Source organism: Homo sapiens, chromosome 11, assembly GCF_000001405.40.
Source record: "Homo sapiens chromosome 11, GRCh38.p14 Primary Assembly".
Taxonomy (NCBI): Eukaryota; Metazoa; Chordata; class Mammalia; order Primates; family Hominidae; genus Homo; species Homo sapiens.
This window is the reverse complement of record NC_000011.10, coordinates 73,242,461-73,261,904: the sequence shown is the minus strand read 5'-3', so window position 1 is coordinate 73,261,904 and position 19,444 is coordinate 73,242,461. Positions and strand designations below refer to the sequence as shown.

Here is a 19,444-nt window from a genome sequence, read left to right as displayed (position 1 = left end):
TTTTATTTATTTATTTATTTATTTATTTTTTGAGATGGAGTCTGTCTCTGTTGCCCAGGCTGGAGTGCAGTGGCATGATCTCGGCTCACTGCAACCTCCGCCTCCTGGGTTGAAGTGATTCTCCTGCCTCAGCCTCCCAAGTAGCTGGGATTACAGGTGCCCACCACCACGTCGGCTAATTTTTGTATTTTTAGTAGAGACGGGGTTTCACCATGTTGGCCAGGCTAGTCTCAAACTCCTGACCTCAGGCGATCCACCCGCTTCAGCCTCCTAAAGTGCTGAGATTACAGGCGTTAGCCACCATGCCAGCCTCTTCCCTTCATTATTAAGTATAGTTGTCTTCTAAGAAAGTGGAAAGGCCTGAGAAGAAAGTAGTTGAGCCTGAAAGACCTAGAAAAGCCTATTTATTATTAGAAGAAAATGTGGATGTAACAAAGCTCATTGGGAGGGCTGGACAGTGAAAGATGTAAGCTTGGCTTATGTGAGAGATGTGAGACTCATCCTCACCCACCATATGTGGGAGCGCTTCTGTGAGTGAGAAAATGCAGCACATTCATTATTAGATAATGAAGTAGTCAGTATTTTAAATGCTTTAGAACTTTTGGTGATGATGGAAATATCCTATATCTGCTGTCCAGTAGGGTAGCCTCTGGCCACATGTAGAAATGTGTCTAGGGCAACGGAGGAATGGAATTTTTAACTCCAAATTAATTTACGTTTAAATGTAAATAGCCTTATGTGACTAACAGATATCATATTTGATAGTGTAGTTTTATACTGTGCAGAAATCATTGCTGAGTGTTAATAGTTTTAAAAATTTTAATGGCATTTGGGGAAAATTAGGGTCTTAGGATGAGCTGGTGACACATTTTTCCTTTTTAAATTTCTGGGAATATAAGCTTTCACTATTCACAAATTTGTTATCAGAAATAAATTATATTCTTTTTTTTTTTTTTTGTCAGAGTCTCGCTCTGTCACCAGGCTGGAGTGCAGTGGCACAATCTCGGCTCACTGCAACCTCTGCCTCCTGGATTCAAGCGATTCTCCTGCCTCAGCCTCCCAAGTAGCTGGAACTGCAGGCACGCGCCACCGTGCCCAGCTAATTTTTGTATTTTTAGTAGAGATGGGGTTTCACCATGTTGGCCAGGATGGTCTTGATCTCTTGACCTCGTGATCCACCTGCCTTGGCCTCCCAAAGTGCTGGGATTATAGGAATGAATTATATTCTAACAGTAAAAGTGACTGTATGTTCTTAAATGGAATACTATATAGCAGACAAAAAATAAACTTGAGCAACCACATCAAGAAGGCTAAAATCACACAAGCATAATGTGACCAAAAAAGAAATATATAGGATACACACAGTATGAGACTATGCACATAAAGTTTTAATTATTGTATATTTCTATACAATAATGTAGAAATCATACAAAGGCATGTGTAAGAATGACCACCAGGGTAGAGGTCACCTTTGAGGAAAAGGAAGGGGTGAGATTGTGTGGGATCTATGCTGCTTTCTATTTCCCTCCTGACTCCCCAGCTCCCTAGCACACTCTGCAAAGACAAAGAGGATGGGCAGGGCCAGCACACAGAGGAGCCACCTCCCCTCCAAAGCCTTCTCTGGCTACCTCTCTGCCAGTCAGGGCTGAGGCCTCCTCTGGGCTCCCAAGTCCAAGTGTTGGCCTTTGTAACACCCTGATCACTCTGGCCTGGTGTTGTTTTTCTTCACACTTCTCCTCCACCAGCCAAGGAGTTTTTCCAGGGCATAATTCTTTGGAGATTTAAAGTCATCATCATCACTCATTTATTCTCTGACACCTGCTATGTGCCTAGGCCCGGGGAAGAAAAAAGATGAGTTGTTCATGGCTAGTGTCCTTCAGAAATGCCCAGTGTGGAGGAGAACAGACCAGAACCTGGTGGGCATTGGGCCAGAGAGACATGAAGATACATAGGAGCTCTGAGGGACCCCCAGCCCACCCAGCCCTAGAGCAGGGAGAACAGGGGTGGTTAAGGCACAAGTTGTGTCTTAGGCTGTGTTCAAGAACAACTAGAATTGTTTGGGTAAAGTAGGAGGAAGATGTTCCTGTTTACAAGAGGGGACAGCTTGTGAAGACCAGGAGGTGGGGTTGATCATGGCCAACTCTGAGAACCTCAAGAAGTTCAGTCCTACTGGGCAGTCCAGTGGAAGAGGGGAGTGGCATAAGAGAGCTGTAGAGAGGGCAGGGACCAGTCCTTTCAGGGTCTCGATGCCAGGCTGGGAAGCTTGGTTTATCCTGAGGGCAATGGGAACCATGGTAGGATTTAAGCAGGGTGGGACCTGGGGAGAGGCCCAGAGGTGTGTTTTAGAAAGCTGACTTATGCTGGCTGATGTGCAGAGGCAGTGGGTCGGTGAGGAGGCTGGGCCAGTAGTCCAGGCAGGTGGCCAGGGCAGTGGGGATGGAGGAGGAGTGATATATGGGAGATGATTAGAAGGTGGATTTGAGAACTTTTCTTTTGAGATGGGGGTCTGGTTCTGTTGCCCAGGCTGGAGTGCAGTGTCACAATCTCTGCTCACTGCAACCTCTGCCTCCCGGGCTCTGGTGATCCTCCCACCTCAGCCTCCCGAGAAGTAGCTGGGACTACAGATGCATGCCACCATGCCTGGCTAATTTTTATTTTTTTATTTTTTTAATTTTTTTGGTAGAGATAGGCTTTTGCCGTGTTGCCCAGGCTGGTCTTGAACTCCTGGGCTCAAGTGATCCTCCCACCTCGGCTTCCCAGAGTGGTAGCATTACAGGCATGAGCCACCACACCTGGCCTTGAGGGCTTTTTAAGGAGGTAGAATCAGCAGAATCAGGCAGATTGGATGCGAATGTGAGGGAGAGAGAGGGGATTCTCAGTTTGGGTTCCTCCAGAAGCTGATCCTGAGGCAAACATTTAAGTACAAATCATTTATTTCAGAGGTGATCCAGGGAAAAGAAGAAAGCCATGGTGGCTGCCGAGCAGGTCATCACTGTGGGTCAGTCCTGTGGGGAACCCGTGGGAGACTGCGCAGAACCTGCCACAGGGAGGTCCCACCCAAAAGGCAAGGAAACTGGAGCAGTTGGTCACCAACTCCAGCTGTCATCGGTTAAAGGCTGATCCTCAAACTTTCTGGCACTTCTGGCCAAGTGTGCTCCAAAGGCCAGAGAAACCCCAGGGCAGAAACCCAGGGTCCCACAGTGAGAAGCTGCAGAGGTGTGGGGATGAGAGTGCTAAGTGGCACAGGCAGCCCCCAGCCTTGGTGTCCCTGTGGGTCCTCTCAGGGCCGGGGCTGCTCTTTCAGCCCCAGCCATAGCCCTAGAACCCCCAGCCCCCTTCCTGAGGCCCAGGAGGGGCGTAGGAGGCACAGCATCTGCTGCAGGATGAAAGGAGCCCTGTCTGTTCCCTGTAGGCTGAGCTCTGGTTCTCCCAGCTGGGTGGAGGAGGGACTCTGTGTAGGAGTTGGGGAAGTGGGGGTGGGTTTCAACCTGATGGCCCTGCCTGCACCCCAGTGTTCTCTCCTCAGCACTCCACCTTTCTCACTGGTCCTCCTGCTGTCCCTGGGTCCTCCTGGGTATGCAGAGCCCTGGTTTCCATGGAGACTGTGCTCTGACCTCTGGAAATGCTCCCTCTGACCAGCTTAGCCAGGCCGCCTGATCCCCATACTCACATCAAGGCAAAGGAACTTGGCAGCTCTTTAATAAAACCAAATCCTGTTGCCCAGGAGCTTCATGTTTGGGCCTCTAGGCCATAGGGTGGGTGAAGTCACTTCTACTCTCTTTAAGATGGAGCCATCAGTTAAAGGAGGGAAGAGATGCCCAGGAGTGGAACTGTAGGGGGCAGCCAGAGCAGTAAGAGCAGGAGCAGGTCAGTGCCGTGTCACTCAGGCCAAGGGAAGATGGGCCTGGAAGAAGGAGGGAGGCCACAGGCTCAGAGCTGGGCCTGGGAGCCAGGCCCCACCCCCACTGGCCCCAGGAGAGGTCAAGGAGCCCTTGGTTAAACTGTGTCCGGCAGCTAATTTGCTTCCTCCTGTTCCGCTCCCTCCCAGCTTCAGCCATGGCCTCACAATCCTTAGCAGCTGGCAGGTGCCCAGCAAGATCCGGCACTGGATGAGCCATATCTGGCATTTCCAACAACTTTTGAGATATCCCCTCCCCCTGTCAGCCCCTGGCCTTGGTGTCCCTGTGGCCTCCTCTCAGGGCCGGGGCTGCTCTTTTAGCCCCAGCCATAGTCCTAAGACCCCAGCCTCCTTCCTGAGGTCCAGGAGCCCCCACATGGCTCCCCTTTGCCCTGTCAGTCCACCAGCCACAGCTAGCCCTTGTTCTGAACAGGAGAACCTCTTCCTGGAACTTGCCTCTTTCTCATTCCCACCACATTCCAGCTGCCCAACCAAGTGTTGATTCACAAATTCATGAGCCAGGAATCCTGCCCTGGCAGCTCTTAGTCAGGGCTCTGGATTCCTCTCTTGCCTCTAAGCACACTGATGGGACACTCCATTTAGCTCCCTCCTACCAGACCCATGCCCACCAGCGCTGCTCCTGGTACAAATGTTTGTTTGTTTACTTATTTATTTTCAAAACGGAGTCTTTCTCTGTTGCCCAGGCTGGAGTGCAATGGCATGATCTTGGCTCACTGCAACCTCCTTCTCCTGGGTTCAAGCAATTCTCCTGCCTCAGCCTCCTGAGTAGCTGGGATTACAGGAGTGTTCCACCACACCCGGCTAATTTTTTGTATTTTTAGTAGAGACAGGGTTTCACCATGTTGGCCAGGCTGGTCTTGAACTCCTGACCTTGTGATCCACCTGCTTCGGCTTCCCAAGGTGCTGGGATTACAGGCGTGAGCCATCATGCCTGGCTATAAATGTTAACATACTTTCTGGCAGTATATAAAGGAGCATAGTGCCTATGTCAGAGGAGGTGATAGTCCACAGAGATCTGCTGCTCACACTACCTGTGGAGCCCTGTGACCTCTGCAACACTGCCTGCTGCCCTTGGGACTGTAGGGACACTGAGAGGGTGATGAAACCAACACATGGAACAAAAAGCCAAGTTAGGCCGGGCGCGGTGGCTCACGCCTGTAATCCCAGCACTTTGGGAGGCCGAGGCAGGCGGATCACCTGAGGCCAGGAGTTCAAGAACAGCTTGGCCAACATGGCAAAACCCCGTCTCTACTGAAAACACACACAAAAAATTAGCCAGGCGTGGTGGCTGGTGCCTGTAATCCCAGCTACTGGGGAGGCTGAGGCTGGAGAATCGCTTGAAACCAGAAGGTGGAGGCTGCAGTGAGCTGAGACTGCGCCATTGCACTCTAGTCTGGGCAGCAAGAGCGAAACTCCATTTCAAAATAGAATAAAATAAAATAAAATTTAAAAAAGCCAAGTTAATGTGAGTCAACCCTTGGGAGTGGGGCAATTCTTTCACTTGGTACCAACAGATCCCTGTCCATTTTAAAACAGATTTACTGAATCTGAGATTCAAGCAGACATTATTGTCTAGTAAATAGTCTAAACTATGTTCATAATGAAGAAAAAGTTGGTGTTTTCATTTATTTCAGCTCTTTAAGAAATCAACAAATCAAAACTGAAATATTGGAAATGACCTGTCTATTCATAGGGAACTGGTTAAATAAATCATGGTTGTTAAAACAGAACAGGGGAGTTTTTATGTAGAAAGACCTTTAAGAAAACTTCAGGGCCAGGCATGGTGGCTCATGCCTGTAATTCCAGCACTTAGAGGCCAAGGCAGGGGGATCGCTTGAGCCTGGGAGTTCAAGAGCAGCCTGGGCAACATAGTGAGACCCTGTCTCTAAAAAAATAGAATAAAATAGCCAGGCGTGATGGCTGACACCTGTAATCCCAGCACTTTGGAGGCCAAGGCAGGGGGATCACAAGGTCAGGAGTTCAAGACCAGCCTGGCCAACATGGTGAAACCTTGTCTCCACTAAAAATTATACAAAAATTAGTTGGGCATGGTGACACATGCCTGTAGTCCCAGCTACTCAGGAGGCTGAGGCAGGAGAATCACTTGAACTCGGAAAGTGGAGGTTGTGGTGAGCCTAGATCGCACCGCTGCACTCCAGCCTGGGCGACAAGAGCGAGACTCTGAATCAAAACAAAAACAACAACAAAAACACCAAAAAACAAACAAACAAAAATTAGCTGGGTGTGGTGGCACGCGCCTGTAGTCCCAGCTACAGGGGAGGCTGAGGCAGAAAAATTGCTTGAACCCGGGAGAGATAGTGCCACTGCACTCCGGACTGGGGGACAGAGGGAGACTCCATCTCAAAAAAAAAAAAAAAAAAAAAAAGAATAAAATAAAAATAAATTTAAAAAGGAATTTTCAGAAGAAAGCTAGGTGTAGAAATATGTATGTAGTAGTATGCAAACTTTTGTGTATGAAGGAAGAAAAAAAACACTACTTTTAGGATTTGTATATACATATAGTTACCTGGAAACATAAAGAAGCAACCACTGACTGGGTTACTTATTAGGGCCAATAACAGGGAGATCCTTCACTGTTTACCTTTTTTTGTTTGTTTGTTTGAACCAAGTGAATACATTATTTAGTTGAAAATTAAATGAAAAAGAAACAGATCACTTTTAAAAATCAAGATGTCACATTTAGTAAAGGTGCCCCAAATGTTGAGGCGTGACAAGGTTCCAATGATGAGAAAAATGGAATGTTTTTATCAACAAAGATTGATATAGGGATTTACTGTTTTCTAAGTAGTTGTGCATAAATTTAGACATTAACTTTCTTCAGCCTGGGCAACATGGCAAAAACCCATCTCTACAAAAAAAAAAAAATACAAAAATTAGCTGGGCATGGTGGCACATGCCTGTAGTCCCAGCTACTCAGGAAGCTGAGGTGGGAGGATCACTTGAGCCTGGGAGATTAAGGCTGCAGTGAGCTGAGATCGTGCCAATACAATCCAGCCTGGGTGACAGAGACCCTGTCTCAAAAAAAAAAAAAAAAGAAAAAAAGATATTAACCTTCTTAAGCCTTATTAGGGACAGTTGATTATTTCAATTTTTCAGAGGGGGAAACTGAGGCTCAGAGAGGTCAGTGGTCTTGCCCAAGGCTCCCCCATCTGTAAGTAAAGGAGCTGGTCCTGGATGGAATCTGGGAGCCCGACCACAGGAACAAAGGAGAGCGCAGAACAGAGTCCACCCAGGAAGACCCCTGGGCTAATGCAGGGGTTCAAGCACACCCTGGGCAGGGACAGGCCTAAGTTGAATTCTGGCTCTTCCACTCATAGCTGTGTGGCCAAGCCAAGTTCCTTTCATTCTCAGAGCTCTGGTCACCTGTACAACGGGGATAATAATTCTGTCCTCCCAAGTGGTTTGAGTTTTAACTGGAATAGTGTATGTAAAACTCTCAGTACAGTGCCTGCCACAAACAATCAAAATTTCTAACTGTTGAAGTGTTTTCTTTAAATAACAGAACGAGATTGTTGTTGTTGTTGTTGTTGTTGAGATGGAGTCTCACTCTGTCACCCAGGATGGAGTGCAGTGGCACAATCTCGGTTCACTGCAACCTCCACCTCCCGGCAGAACCAGATATTTTAATTCAACTGAACTCCCTATAGTTCTTGAATTCCCTATATGCCTGCCTCATAAATTAAGAAGAGGAGAAGCATTGGAGAATTGAAGGAAGTATAGGAAACCACCTTTGCCCTAAAAGATGCTTATGGTTTTATTGGTGAGACAACCTTTAAGTAGGCCCACACAGCCTTTCTAGGAATACAGTTTATTACTGTCAATATTCAGTTTATTTTTCTATGCTAACCTCATTGTAAAATTAAAATGCAGATGGATTGTTCATCCAATTTTATGTGCAGTGGTTTTCAATACGTGACAAAATTCACAGTAAGAACTAAATGTTGTTTTTTTCAGAATATTTGAAGCCATTTTAAATGACGTTGTGCATAACTTGTATCACCAACTGTGTTCCACCCTAACAGAGGCACATATCCAGTTCTCCTCCAATCATCCCGCATCCATGCTGCTTTTGGCATTAATGGTGCCAAAATGGTGGCACTGCCATGTGTTCTCTTCATTATCTAATGATTAATTGTACTGACATACATGATACTCACTTTGGGCTTCTGGCAATTCGCAGACTGGGCTTCTGGCAATTCGCAGACTGGAAAAATAGTAACAGATTAGTGATGAACTTCATTAAAAATTATCATGTAAGGAACAGCAGACATTCCACAGTGTACACATATATTAAAACACCACACTGAGCCAGACATGGTGGTTCATGCCTGAAATCCCAGCATCTTGTGGTGAGGGTAAGGTGGGAGTATCACTTGAGCCCAGGGGTTCAAGACCTGCCTGGGCAACATAGCAAGGCCCCATCCCTACTATATATATATATATATATATATATATATATATATATATGTGTATGTATGTATGTATCCAGGCATGATGGCACGCACCTGTGGTCCCAGCTACTTGGGAGGCTGAGCCAGGAGCATAACTTGAGCCCAGGAAGTCAAGGCTGCAGTGAGCCTTCACGCCACTGCACTCCAGCCTGGGTGGGAGAGTGAGACCCTGTTTCAAACAAACAAAAACCAACATAAAAAATATATCACATTGTGCCCCATAAGTATATACAATTATTATTTGTCAATTAAAAATAAAAATTTAAATTAAAAAAGAAACAGCAGAATTGTTCATTGCAGTTCATTATTATTATTTTTCCCAATGTTTTAGAATAAGGGAATGTAACACTTATCTCAAAGGGAAAAGCCCTGACTTCTTTCTGTCTTGTGGAGAGGGCCACAAGTGTGCTTCCTCACCAGGGAGCTTGGTTTGGTTGGAAACACTTCCACCTGTCACCACTTGAGGATGTGGCAGGCAGATGCTCTTAGGTTTTGTCACTCTCAGAAGGGGACAAGAGAGGCCAGAAGAACAAAAGCAAAGGCAGTAAGGTTAATAATACAAAAGGACGAGATTGAGGTGGTTTAGGTCCACCTGGAGCTGTCACAGGCTGGAAGGGAGACACTTCATCGAAATTCTGCTGCCTCTTGCAGAAACAAAACTGAAAAGAAAGAGACCCCTTCCAAAGGACTTGGCACTTCTGGGTTTAGGTAAGCAGACTTTGGCGCCCAGCTTTTCTCCAGGCAACTTATGGACTTGTGGTATATGCCTAGGATTTGGAAAAGAGCAGGAGACGGAGGGGTCCCAAACTATAATGAAAAGTGTCTAGGTCCCTTGTATGAACAACAACCCAGTAAAAGCTGTCTGCAAGATGTTCAGGAGGTGAGAAAGCAAGGAATGAACCAGGATTACCTATTAGGGAAGTGATAAAAAGACCCTATTTGAAGAGAGACTGAACATTCTTCCATCTAAAGAATAAATATAGTTAGAAACAAAATCTTGCAATGAAAAAACACCAAAAAAAAAAAGTGGGGATCTTGTATTAGGGCTCTCCAGAGAAACAGAAACAATTATATATATATAAAATTATATATAAAATATATAATACATAAAATACATAATATATAATATTTATTTTAATATTTAATTATTTTAAATATATATTTAATTATTTTAAATATATATTAAAATATTTTAAATATATATTTAATTATTTACATATATATTTAATTATTTTAATATATATTTAAATATTTTAAATATTTAAATACAAAATATTTAATTTTTTTTTTTTTTTGAGACGGAGTCTTGCTCTTTCGCCCAGGCCGGACTGCAGTGGCGCTATCTCGGCTCACTGCAAGCTCCGCCTTCCGGGTTCACGCCATTCTCCGGCCTCAGCCTCCTGAGTAGCTGGGATTACAGGCGCCCGCCACCGCGCCCGGCTAATTTTTTGTATTTTTAGTAGAGACGGGGTTTCACCATGTTAGCCAAGATGGTCTCGATCTCCTGACCTCGTGATCCGCCCTGCCTCGGCCTCCCAAAGTGCTGGGATTACAGGCGTGAGCCACCGTGCCCGGCCTAATTATTTTTAATATATATTTTATATATAATATATTATATCTATAAATAATATATAATATATTATATCTATAAATAATATATAATATATTATATCTATAAATAATATATAATATATTATATCTATAAATAATATATAATATATTATATCTATAAATAATATATAATATATTATATCTATAAATAATATATAATATATTATATCTATAAATAATATATAATATATTATATCTATAAATAATATATAATATATTATATCTATAAATAATATATAATATATTATATCTATAAATAATATATAATATATTATATATATAAATAATATATAATATAATATACTATATATTATATATAATATATAATATATAATATATATAATATATAGTATATTATATATATTATATATTATATATTATATATATCATATATTATATATACAATATATAATATATTATATATAATATATTATATAGTTTATATAAATAATATATAATATATTATATATTTTATAGAAATAAATAATATATTATATATTATATATAAATAATATATAATATAATATTATATATTATATATAAATAATATATAATATAATATTATATATTATATATAAATAATATATAATATAATATTATATATTATATATAAATAATATATAATATTATATTATATATTATATATAAAAATATATAATATTATATTATATATATTATATTTTATATATAAATATATATATATTTTTATATATATAAAAATATATAAAAAATATAAAATATATATAAATATATAATATAAAATATATATTATATATTTTATATAATATATAATATAAAATATATAATATATATTTATATATAAATATATAATATATATTATATATTTATATATATAAATATATAATATATATTATATATTTATATATATAAATATATAAATATAAAATATATATTATATATTTATATTTGAAGGAAGTATAGGAAATAATTACATATTTATTTATTTATTTACTTTAGGAACTGGCTCACAGGATTATGGAATCTGAGAAGTCTCATGATCTACTGTCTGTCTGTAAATTGGAAAACCAGGAAAGCTGTTGGTGTCATTTAGGCCAAGTCTGAAGGCCCAAGGACCAGAACCCCAATTTCCAAGGGCAGGAGAAGGTGGATGTTCCCTCTCAAAAAGAGAGCATGCTGAGTGCGGTGGGTCATGCCTATAATCCAAACATTTTGGGAGACCTAGGCGGGAGGATCACTGCAGTCAAGGAGTTCGAGACCAGCCTGGGCAACAAAGCGATACCTTGTTTCTATAAAAAAGAGTTTTTAAATTAGCCAAGTGTGGTGGTTCACACCTGTAGTCCTAGCTACTCAAGGGCTGGGGTGGAAGGATTGCTTGAACCCAGGAGTTCGAGGCTGCAGTGAGCTATGCAGTGAGCTATGATCGCTCTGGGAAACAGAGCATCTGTTTCTAAAATAAAAAAAAGTGGGGTGCAGTGGCTCACACCTATAATTCCAACACTTTGGGAGGCCAAGGCAGGCAGATTGCTGGAACCCAGGAGTTCAAGAACCCAGGAGTTCAAGACCAGCCTGGGCAATGTGGCAAGACCCTGTCTCTACAAAAAAATACAAAAATTAGCCAGGGGTGGTGGTCCACGCCTGTAGTCCTAACTACTTAGGAGGCTGAAGTGGGAGAATTACTTGTGCCCAGGAGGCAGAATTTGCAGCAATGAGCCAAGATTGCGCCACTGCACTTCAGCCTGAGCAACAGAGCAAGGTTCTGTCTCAAAAAAAAAAAAAAAAAAAAAAAAAGAGAGTGAGAAAGAGAGAGTGAATTTGTCCTTTCTCCACCTTTTCTTTAATTCACATCCTCAATGGGTTGGATGATGACTACCCACCTTGGGGAGGGCCATTTGATTTACTCAGTTCGCCTACTCACATGCTAATTTCTTTGAGAAGCATTCTCACAGACAATGTTTTACCAGCCATCTGGGCATTCGTTAGCCCGGTCAGGTTGACACATATAATTAACCATCACAGATCTCCCTACATTATCACCACTTTCCTGGATTTTTAACCAGCATTCTTCTTGTTCCTCAGGCTTTAAACAGGGAGTTCAGCACAGACCTCAAATTGTAACAGAAAACAGAAAGCAACATCTCCTGGTTCATAGACCCTGGAGAAAAATATTTGAGATACATGAATGCCACTGACTCAAAGAAAACAGAAATGGCATTGACGTGAAAGCTGCAGGTGCTGAAAGGTTTTAGTTTGCCTTGAGCAAGTTAAATGAAAGTAAGAGAAGCAAAGACTGGATACTGTACTATTAATACCCACCACAGTGAAAACCACTACTTCATTGGCACAGGTGCTGGTACAAGAAACTTAGAGGACCAAGAGGCTGTCATAAGATGATGGTTGATGACATCAATACTACAAAAGGTCGGCCTAAGTATGTGCCCTGTGTGGGAGTGGTTCCAGCAAATCCAGTCTCTCTCTCTCTCTCACCTGAGGAGACATGGTGACCTCATGCAATGATGGATTGTAGATGGCCACAAAGCAACCACAGGCTATGAACATCAACACGTGGTATTTATAGAGAGGACAATAAAGAGAAAGAAAAGCTGCGAGGCCGGGTGCGATGGCTCACGCCTGTAATCCCAGCACTTTGGGAGACTGAGGTGGGAGGATCACTTGAGTCCGGAAGATCAAGACTGCCTGGGCAACATAGCAAGACCTCATGTCTACAAAAATTTAAAAAATTAGCCAGGTGTGGTTTTACGTGGTATCCTATCGTCATACTTACCTGGGAGGCTGAGGTGGGAGGATCACTTGAGCCAGGAGTTCAAGGTTGCAGTGAGCTATGATTGTGCCACTGCACTCCAGCTTGGGTGACAGAACAAGAAGACCCTGTCTTTAAAGAAAGTGTTTAAAATAAAAAGAAAAACAGCTGAGTCATGCACCTGACATAGAAGATGTTTTTCTTTGATACAAAAGTCATGAGCATTCTGGGGGTGCAAACAGGACAATAGAGATCAGGGAAGGACTGGGTGAAAGAAAACAGAGCTTGGGGGTGGGAAGGTATGAATTTCAGCCAATTAGAGCAATCAAGGCCAGGTTCCCCACCATGGAGACAACTTGTCAACCTAGCAAGAGTAAATGCAGGCCCAGAGGAGTCATTTCCAGCAGGCATCGCCTTTGGGAATATATACCCCAAGAAAACACAGCTCCTTTGTTGCCTGTAACAGATCTGCTGATTCTCATGTGTGCCTGCCCCACAGAGGGCTGGAGAAAAATGTTGTCCAGTCTCTCTTCTGTTTCAGATTTTCTCCCTGTTTCCTCTGAGGTGGCTTCTGAGTATTTAGGGAGTTGGGGCCTCATATCTCTGTAGCAGGGAGAAGAGATGGAACCTTGGCTTTGACCTCCATTCTGATGTCTACTCCTCCTCCACACTTATTTTTTTTTTTAATTTGCCATTAAAGAAACTGAGTCGTGTATCCTATAAAGGTTCTCAAATTCTGGATTTGGTTAATTTCATCACCTATTGCTATCTCAACTTCCTCAGTCACCTGTATTTTCTGAAAACTGGTAGTTAGATCTAGAGGTTTGATCAAATTCAGGTTCACCTATGAATTCTTCATAGGAGGTGGTGTGTACTTCTTTGTACCCCATAAAGCAGGACATAATGTCTAGTTCTCTCTCTTTTTTGTGATGTTAATATTGGCCATTGGGTTCTGGTGTTATCAGACTAGCAACCATTGGGATGATTACTGCTCAGACTTGCCTGTAGAAATAGAAAGCAAAGCATATAGGTATATTTTTTAATGTTAAAGTAAGCACATTAAAAAAGTAATCAGAAATACTGAGATTAATTTAAATAATATATTTTATTTAATCTGTTATATCAAAAATATTATATAAAAACCAAGATATTTTACAATCTTTCTTTTCTGTATTAAGTCTTCAAAAATCTAGTGTGTATTTTACACTTATACCACATATCAATTCCGATAAGCCACATTTCAAATGTTCAGTAGGCACTTGTGGGTAGTGGCTGCCACATTGGACACCCCAGGCCTACAGGCATTAATTGATTAGGGCATGCAAAATGATGATATTTAATTCTGTGATACCTTCTTCATTTATTGGCTGGAGTTCAGTAAAGAAGAATTTTCCTCGGTGTCTATTTAGTTACTCTGAAATACAGTTTGTATAGGAAAGACAGATTCTTTTCCTTTTAACCTGCCTTTCAGAATAATACATTGATAAGCTACCAACCTACAGAACAGACCTACACGTTTGCTTGTTTGTTTGCTCTTAGTATCATTATAAACTCATAGATTGAAACACAAGTTTCAGATTTGTATGTTTCAATCCATCGTAGGCATTATTCTTTTTGATACTTAAAATACCCCATCTTTGTGCAGCACAGTCCTCAAGTTGGTTTTTATGTCCTTTAAACACAACGTTAGTAGTGCTGACAACTTGCTTTTTGTATGACAAAATATTCTGAACCCATCTTATGCATTTCCTGCCACGAACCCAGAATCAGCCATTTCTCCAAGAAGCCCTTGTTCCTTTTAATAGGAAATACATTTAGAACCTTTGAAGCGGGTACTAGAGGTGCTCAGCATCACAGGGCTAGTTATTGTTCCCAGGCCTTTTTAGAAGTTAGAAATAGAGAATACTTTTTAAAGAGAAAAAAGCATCATGAGTTTATACAGATGTTTCCAAATCCAAGACTATACTGATAGTAGTTTTTTCTTCTTTGATTTTATATTCGTATCTCTTTTCTCTTATGTTGAAAATGTTGGTTTCCAGTGACATTAACATAATTAGATTTTCATTATATCCTACTACATGTAATAGTTTCAAACTAACACCATCAATAGTATTAAAGTTGACCCTTGAACAGTGCAGGGGTTAGGGATGTCAACCCCTCACGCAGTTGAAAATCCACATATAACTTTTGACTCCCCCAAAACTTAACTACCAATATTCTACTGTTGACCAAAGCCTTACCGAAAATATAAATAGTTGATTAACACATATTTTGTATGTTGCATATATCATATACTGTATTCTTATAATAAATTAAGCTAGAGAAAAGAAAATGTTATTAAGAAAACATAAGGAAGAGAAAATATATTTACTGCTCATTAAGTGGAGGTGGATCATCATAAAGTTCTTCATCCCTCTCATCTTCATATTGAGTAGGCTGAGGAAAAGGTGGAAGGTGGGGATTGGTCTTGCTATCTCCGGAGTGGCAGAGGCAGAAGAAAATCTGCATATATGTGGACCCATGCAGTTCAAGCCCATGATGTTCAGGGGTAACCGTACTTGTAATATGATTACAAAGACTGCTTCAGATTTCTTTAGAGTTAGTTCTCTTTGTCCTTAGAATATGTCCTTCTTAGGAATGTACAGTGAGGCAGTTATTAATTCCAGGAAAAACAAAAAGTTATGCAAGAAAGAAAATATAAACATAGAATGCCCTAAGATGTCACTGTGAGCAACATTTTTGACATCATAAAAATGGAAGCACTGAATATTTAATCAAAAATTGCAATGGGAGAATGAGAGAAGGAAGAGAACTAAAGCCTCATTTCACAAAAGGAAACCAGTATATAATGTCTAAAATGGAAGAAACCGATTTTTAAAAATGGTCTGAGTTTGATACTGACATGAAAGTTTTCTTTTTCTCCAGTCGAATTTAAATTGCCACTCATTTCCATCACACGGAATTTACACTCACTCCTCTTCTCTGCTGCCTCCCAGCCACCCTTTTTGACTCCAGCTCAGGAAATGGAGACATCTTTTTTTTTTTTTTTACTGAAGTGGGATTGTTATTTAAATGTTCTTTGGGTAATCCTGTTCCCTGGACAACCCTGACTTGGACAGTGTCCCCTAGGGCAGACCCTCCAATTCAGGTTGGATCTCTTGCCAGGCAGATGTGTGAGTTCTCTGTGGCAGTAGCTCAGGCAGGCTGAGGGAGGGGTGGCGATTAGCGCGCTCCTTCAGCTCCTTCACCGAGGAGGGGATTTGAAGTGAATCTTGGAGGAGGAGACACATTTCAGGTGAGCAAGGAAGTCAGAAGGATTCTGTAGACGCAGGGACAGCATAGGAAAGGCAAGGTGCCTGGAAGGGATTCTGCAATACATCCAGTATTCCACAATACACGTGTTACTCCTCAGGGACACTGTTCAGTCACTCTGGTTTTTCTGGCCGCCCAAGATGTAGGGCCATTTCCTAATCTATTTAATAATAGGCATATCATTTGGCGTCTGCTCAGCTCAGCCCACGGCCTTGGAACAAATGGACCCAATTAAAAGGCCATCATAGGGGAATTCAAGGGAAGAGGAAAAAGCCATTGATCAAATCAATGCTCAGTTGCCCTGGGGCTGGTTTGTGACCAGCTATGCCAGAGTCCTTCCCCCTATCCTCTCCCAGATGCTGTCCTAGACCTGAGGACCTTCCCGCCACCCTGGTCCCATCCTCCTCTCCTCCACCCCCACCCACTGACTAGCTGTGTGGCCTCACACTACATCTTCTCTAGATCTCAGGGTCACTGTCTACAAAACATTGTAGGCATCCTCTGCACCCCCTCTTCTTTTATCACCTCCTTCCATCCAATCCATAAAGGATCCCATTCACTCTTCCTTCAGAATACATCTGGCATTGGTCCACTTCTCCCCACCTCCATTGCTACCACCTGGTCCCAGTCCTCAGCCTGAGCTCTCACCTGGATTTCTGCAACAGCTCCTCCCTGTAGTCATTACTTCTGACCTTGCCCCACTGTGGTCTATTCTCAGCACAGCAGACAGACCAATCCTTCTAAAATGTAAGTCAGATTCTGTCTCCTCCTCAGACCTTGCATGGCTTCCCTTCTCATTCAATGTCCTACCAGATCTCCCCCGACCTCTGGCCTCCCCTCCTCCCCTCCAGGCCCACTCCACCCCAGCTGCAGGCCCTAGGGCTTTGCACTTACTGGTCCCTCTTTCTGGGAGCTCTTTTCCATTTGGCTAACTCCCACACCTCCTTCAAGTATTTGCCCAAATGCCTCCTTTTCACCCAACCACCCTATTTAAAATTGCAACCTTCATGTCCTCACAATCCCTCTTCCTGTTGTTTTTTGCCTCCTACAGAGCTTGTCACCTTTTAACACACCATATAATTTACATTCTATTATGTTCACTGCTTATTATCTCTCTCCCCCTACTAGAATGTGAGCTCAAGGGCATCGTCTTTGTCTTTTTTTTTTTTTTTTTTTTTTTTTAAAGAGACAGAGTCTCGCTGTGTCTCCCAGGCTGGAGTGCAGTGGCATGATCTCGGCTCAGTGCAACCTCTGCCTCCTGAGTTTGAGCAATTCTTCTGCCTTAGCCTCCCGAGTGGCTGGGACTACAGGCGCCTGCCACCACACCCAGCTAATTTCTTTTGTATTTTAGTATAGACGAGGTTTCACCATGTTGCCCAGGCTGGTCTCAAACTCCTGAGCTCAGGCAATCTGCCTGCCTCGGCCTCCCAAAGTGCTAGAATTACAGGCGTGAGCCACCACACCTGGCTGTCTTTGTTTTTTTAATTCACTGATGATTTACGGACATTACACAGAGCAGTACCTGGCACATAGTAGGTACTTACTAAATATTTGTTGAATAAATGAATGAATGAGTGGGTGATAATAAGGTTCCTGCCTCAAAGGGCCATTGTGAAACTTGTAAAATAATTAATTTATTTCCTTTGCAAAGGAAAGGAATGTGCCGGGCACTGATGGGCACGGAGGATAAAGCAGTGACCAAAACAGATCCCTGCCTTTTGGGAACTTTCATTCTAGCAAGGAGAAACAGCATAAATAAACTATGATGTGAGTATGGTTACCATCCCCCCCCACTTTTTTTTTTTTAATTTGAGATGGAGTCTCGCTCTGTTGCCCAGGCTGCAGTACAGTGGCACAATCTCGGCTCACTGCAACCTCCGCCTCCTGCCTCCCGGGTTCAAGGAATTCTCCTGCCTCAGCCTCCCAGGTAGCTGGGATTACAGGCACGTGCCACCATTCCCAGCTAATTTTTGTATTTTAGTAGAGATGGGGTTTCACCATGTTGGCCAGGCTGGTCTCAAACTCCTGAGCTCAAGTGATCCACCCGCCTCGATCTCCCAAAGTGCTGGGATTACAGGTGTGAGCTGCCATGCCCGGCCAGTTACCCCCTTTGTTTATGATGAGAAAACAGGTACCCAAGGTCGCCTGATTGATGAGTGGCAGAGCTGGGATTCAAACGCAAGTCCCTCTGACTCCAGGATTTGTGTGCTTTCTGTGCTGTGAATGAGGGCATCTGGGTTTATGTGGAGTAAAAGCTTGTGGGTGAGAGGTGTGCAGAGATCTGAGAGGACGGCTTAGGAGGCTGGCTGAGGCTTCCCATCTTACCTCTGCTTCTGGATCCACACAAGGACCCCGAACTCAGGCCTCCCTTTCCACATGACTTCCACAGGAGTCAGACACATCTTACCTACGGACATGCTGGTGGGATCCAAATTACAGGCATCTCAGGTGTGGTGGATGAACCCCAACTTCTTCCCAGATGGAGTTCCTGGGAGAACCGGCTGTGCTAGTCACACTTCTCCGGGGCATGGAGTGCAGTTTTGAAGGCTGTCCTGTGAGAAGACAAGGACTTCTAGGGGCGTGCGGAGGGCAGGGGTCTCTGGTGAGGATGGGGTTACCGGAGTGGGGTAGAAGAGAGAGTTAGGGGTGCCCATTCTTTGGAAAGAGCATGGTTACACCCTTCCATGTCCTTCCACGGCTGCCCTAGGCAGATGTGCTGTGTCCCTGAGTCTGAGCTGGGGAGGCGCAGGACCCTGTGAAGAGTGGTCTTCCACAGGAAAAGGGATTGCTCAGCAGGGAATGATCTCTACCCCTGGCTGGGGTGCAGGAGACGGACATCATGGTTTGGGCCAGGCACCGTCACCTTGTTGGCAAGTCAGGGCATGTTGGCAAGTCACTGTATGCAAATTGTGTTCTCTGTTTCAATTGTCAGCTCTCCCCCCGGACCCTCACACTCAACAGCCTGGCTGCAGCCGGATCATTTTCTTATCACCCCATAGGCGAAGGTCTGGATCCCAGCCCCCGTTTCCTGCCACTGCTGCCAGCTTTGGCCACCAGGGGGAAGCAGAGCAGCACCAACCAACCTGGGGCCCTTCGTAGACTAAACAGCCAGGGCAGAGCACAGAGTGGACTGTCCCTGTCCGCCTCCCTTTGCTCCCAAGGATTCTGGGGACAGGGAGCAAAAGGGGAGGGTGATGGGGAGTGGGGAGGGAAAGGGAGTTAGAGTGGGAGGGAGGGAAGGAGAGGGGGTGCCACAGAGCTGGCAGCTGGACCCTCTCTCCATTCCCATCTCTTCCTGCCATTCCACTTCCACTTCCGGGGTTTAGTCTGACTCCTGGCAGCCCCTTGTTGCCCCCCTCTGGCCTGGCTGCCCACCTGCAGCCCTTCTGT

The 19,444-nt window shown here is 43.3% G+C and overlaps 1 long non-coding RNA gene and 1 pseudogene across 1 annotated transcript, besides 5 other annotated features; both read right to left on the bottom strand.

Annotated features, from left to right (window-relative positions):
• Window positions 1–2,915: 2,915 nt before the first annotated feature.
• Window positions 2,916–8,560, bottom strand: LOC105369382 (uncharacterized). Its single transcript, XR_950296.3, has 3 exons — window positions 8,446–8,560; window positions 8,098–8,144; window positions 2,916–3,904 (listed from the first exon to the last, which is right to left on the bottom strand). It is a non-coding gene; the product is annotated as an uncharacterized LOC105369382 (long non-coding RNA).
• Window positions 11,913–13,112: an enhancer, noted in NCBI's record as "BRD4-independent group 4 enhancer chr11:72959838-72961037 (GRCh37/hg19 assembly coordinates)". NCBI's record gives its function as "activates an origin of replication core promoter dependent on BRD2, P300/CBP, MED14 and CDK7 cofactors, and independent of BRD4, by STARR-seq in HCT116 cells {active_cell/tissue: HCT116}" and the evidence as "EXISTENCE:reporter gene assay evidence [ECO:0000049][PMID:35650434]".
• On the bottom strand, window positions 12,036–12,589 carry OR8R1P (olfactory receptor family 8 subfamily R member 1 pseudogene; annotated as a pseudogene).
• Window positions 12,338–12,397: an enhancer, noted in NCBI's record as "active region_5230". NCBI's record gives its function as "activates an Ori minimal core promoter by ATAC-STARR-seq in GM12878 lymphoblastoid cells {active_cell/tissue: GM12878}" and the evidence as "EXISTENCE:reporter gene assay evidence [ECO:0000049][PMID:35858748]".
• Window positions 12,468–12,517: an enhancer, noted in NCBI's record as "active region_5229". NCBI's record gives its function as "activates an Ori minimal core promoter by ATAC-STARR-seq in GM12878 lymphoblastoid cells {active_cell/tissue: GM12878}" and the evidence as "EXISTENCE:reporter gene assay evidence [ECO:0000049][PMID:35858748]".
• Window positions 18,688–19,434: an enhancer, noted in NCBI's record as "H3K27ac-H3K4me1 hESC enhancer chr11:72953516-72954262 (GRCh37/hg19 assembly coordinates)". NCBI's record gives its function as "activates a minimal SCP1, AML or CMV promoter by ChIP-STARR-seq in naive H9 embryonic stem cells {active_cell/tissue: H9 hESC(naive)}" and the evidence as "EXISTENCE:reporter gene assay evidence [ECO:0000049][PMID:30033119]".
• Window positions 18,803–19,042: an enhancer, noted in NCBI's record as "active region_5228". NCBI's record gives its function as "activates an Ori minimal core promoter by ATAC-STARR-seq in GM12878 lymphoblastoid cells {active_cell/tissue: GM12878}" and the evidence as "EXISTENCE:reporter gene assay evidence [ECO:0000049][PMID:35858748]".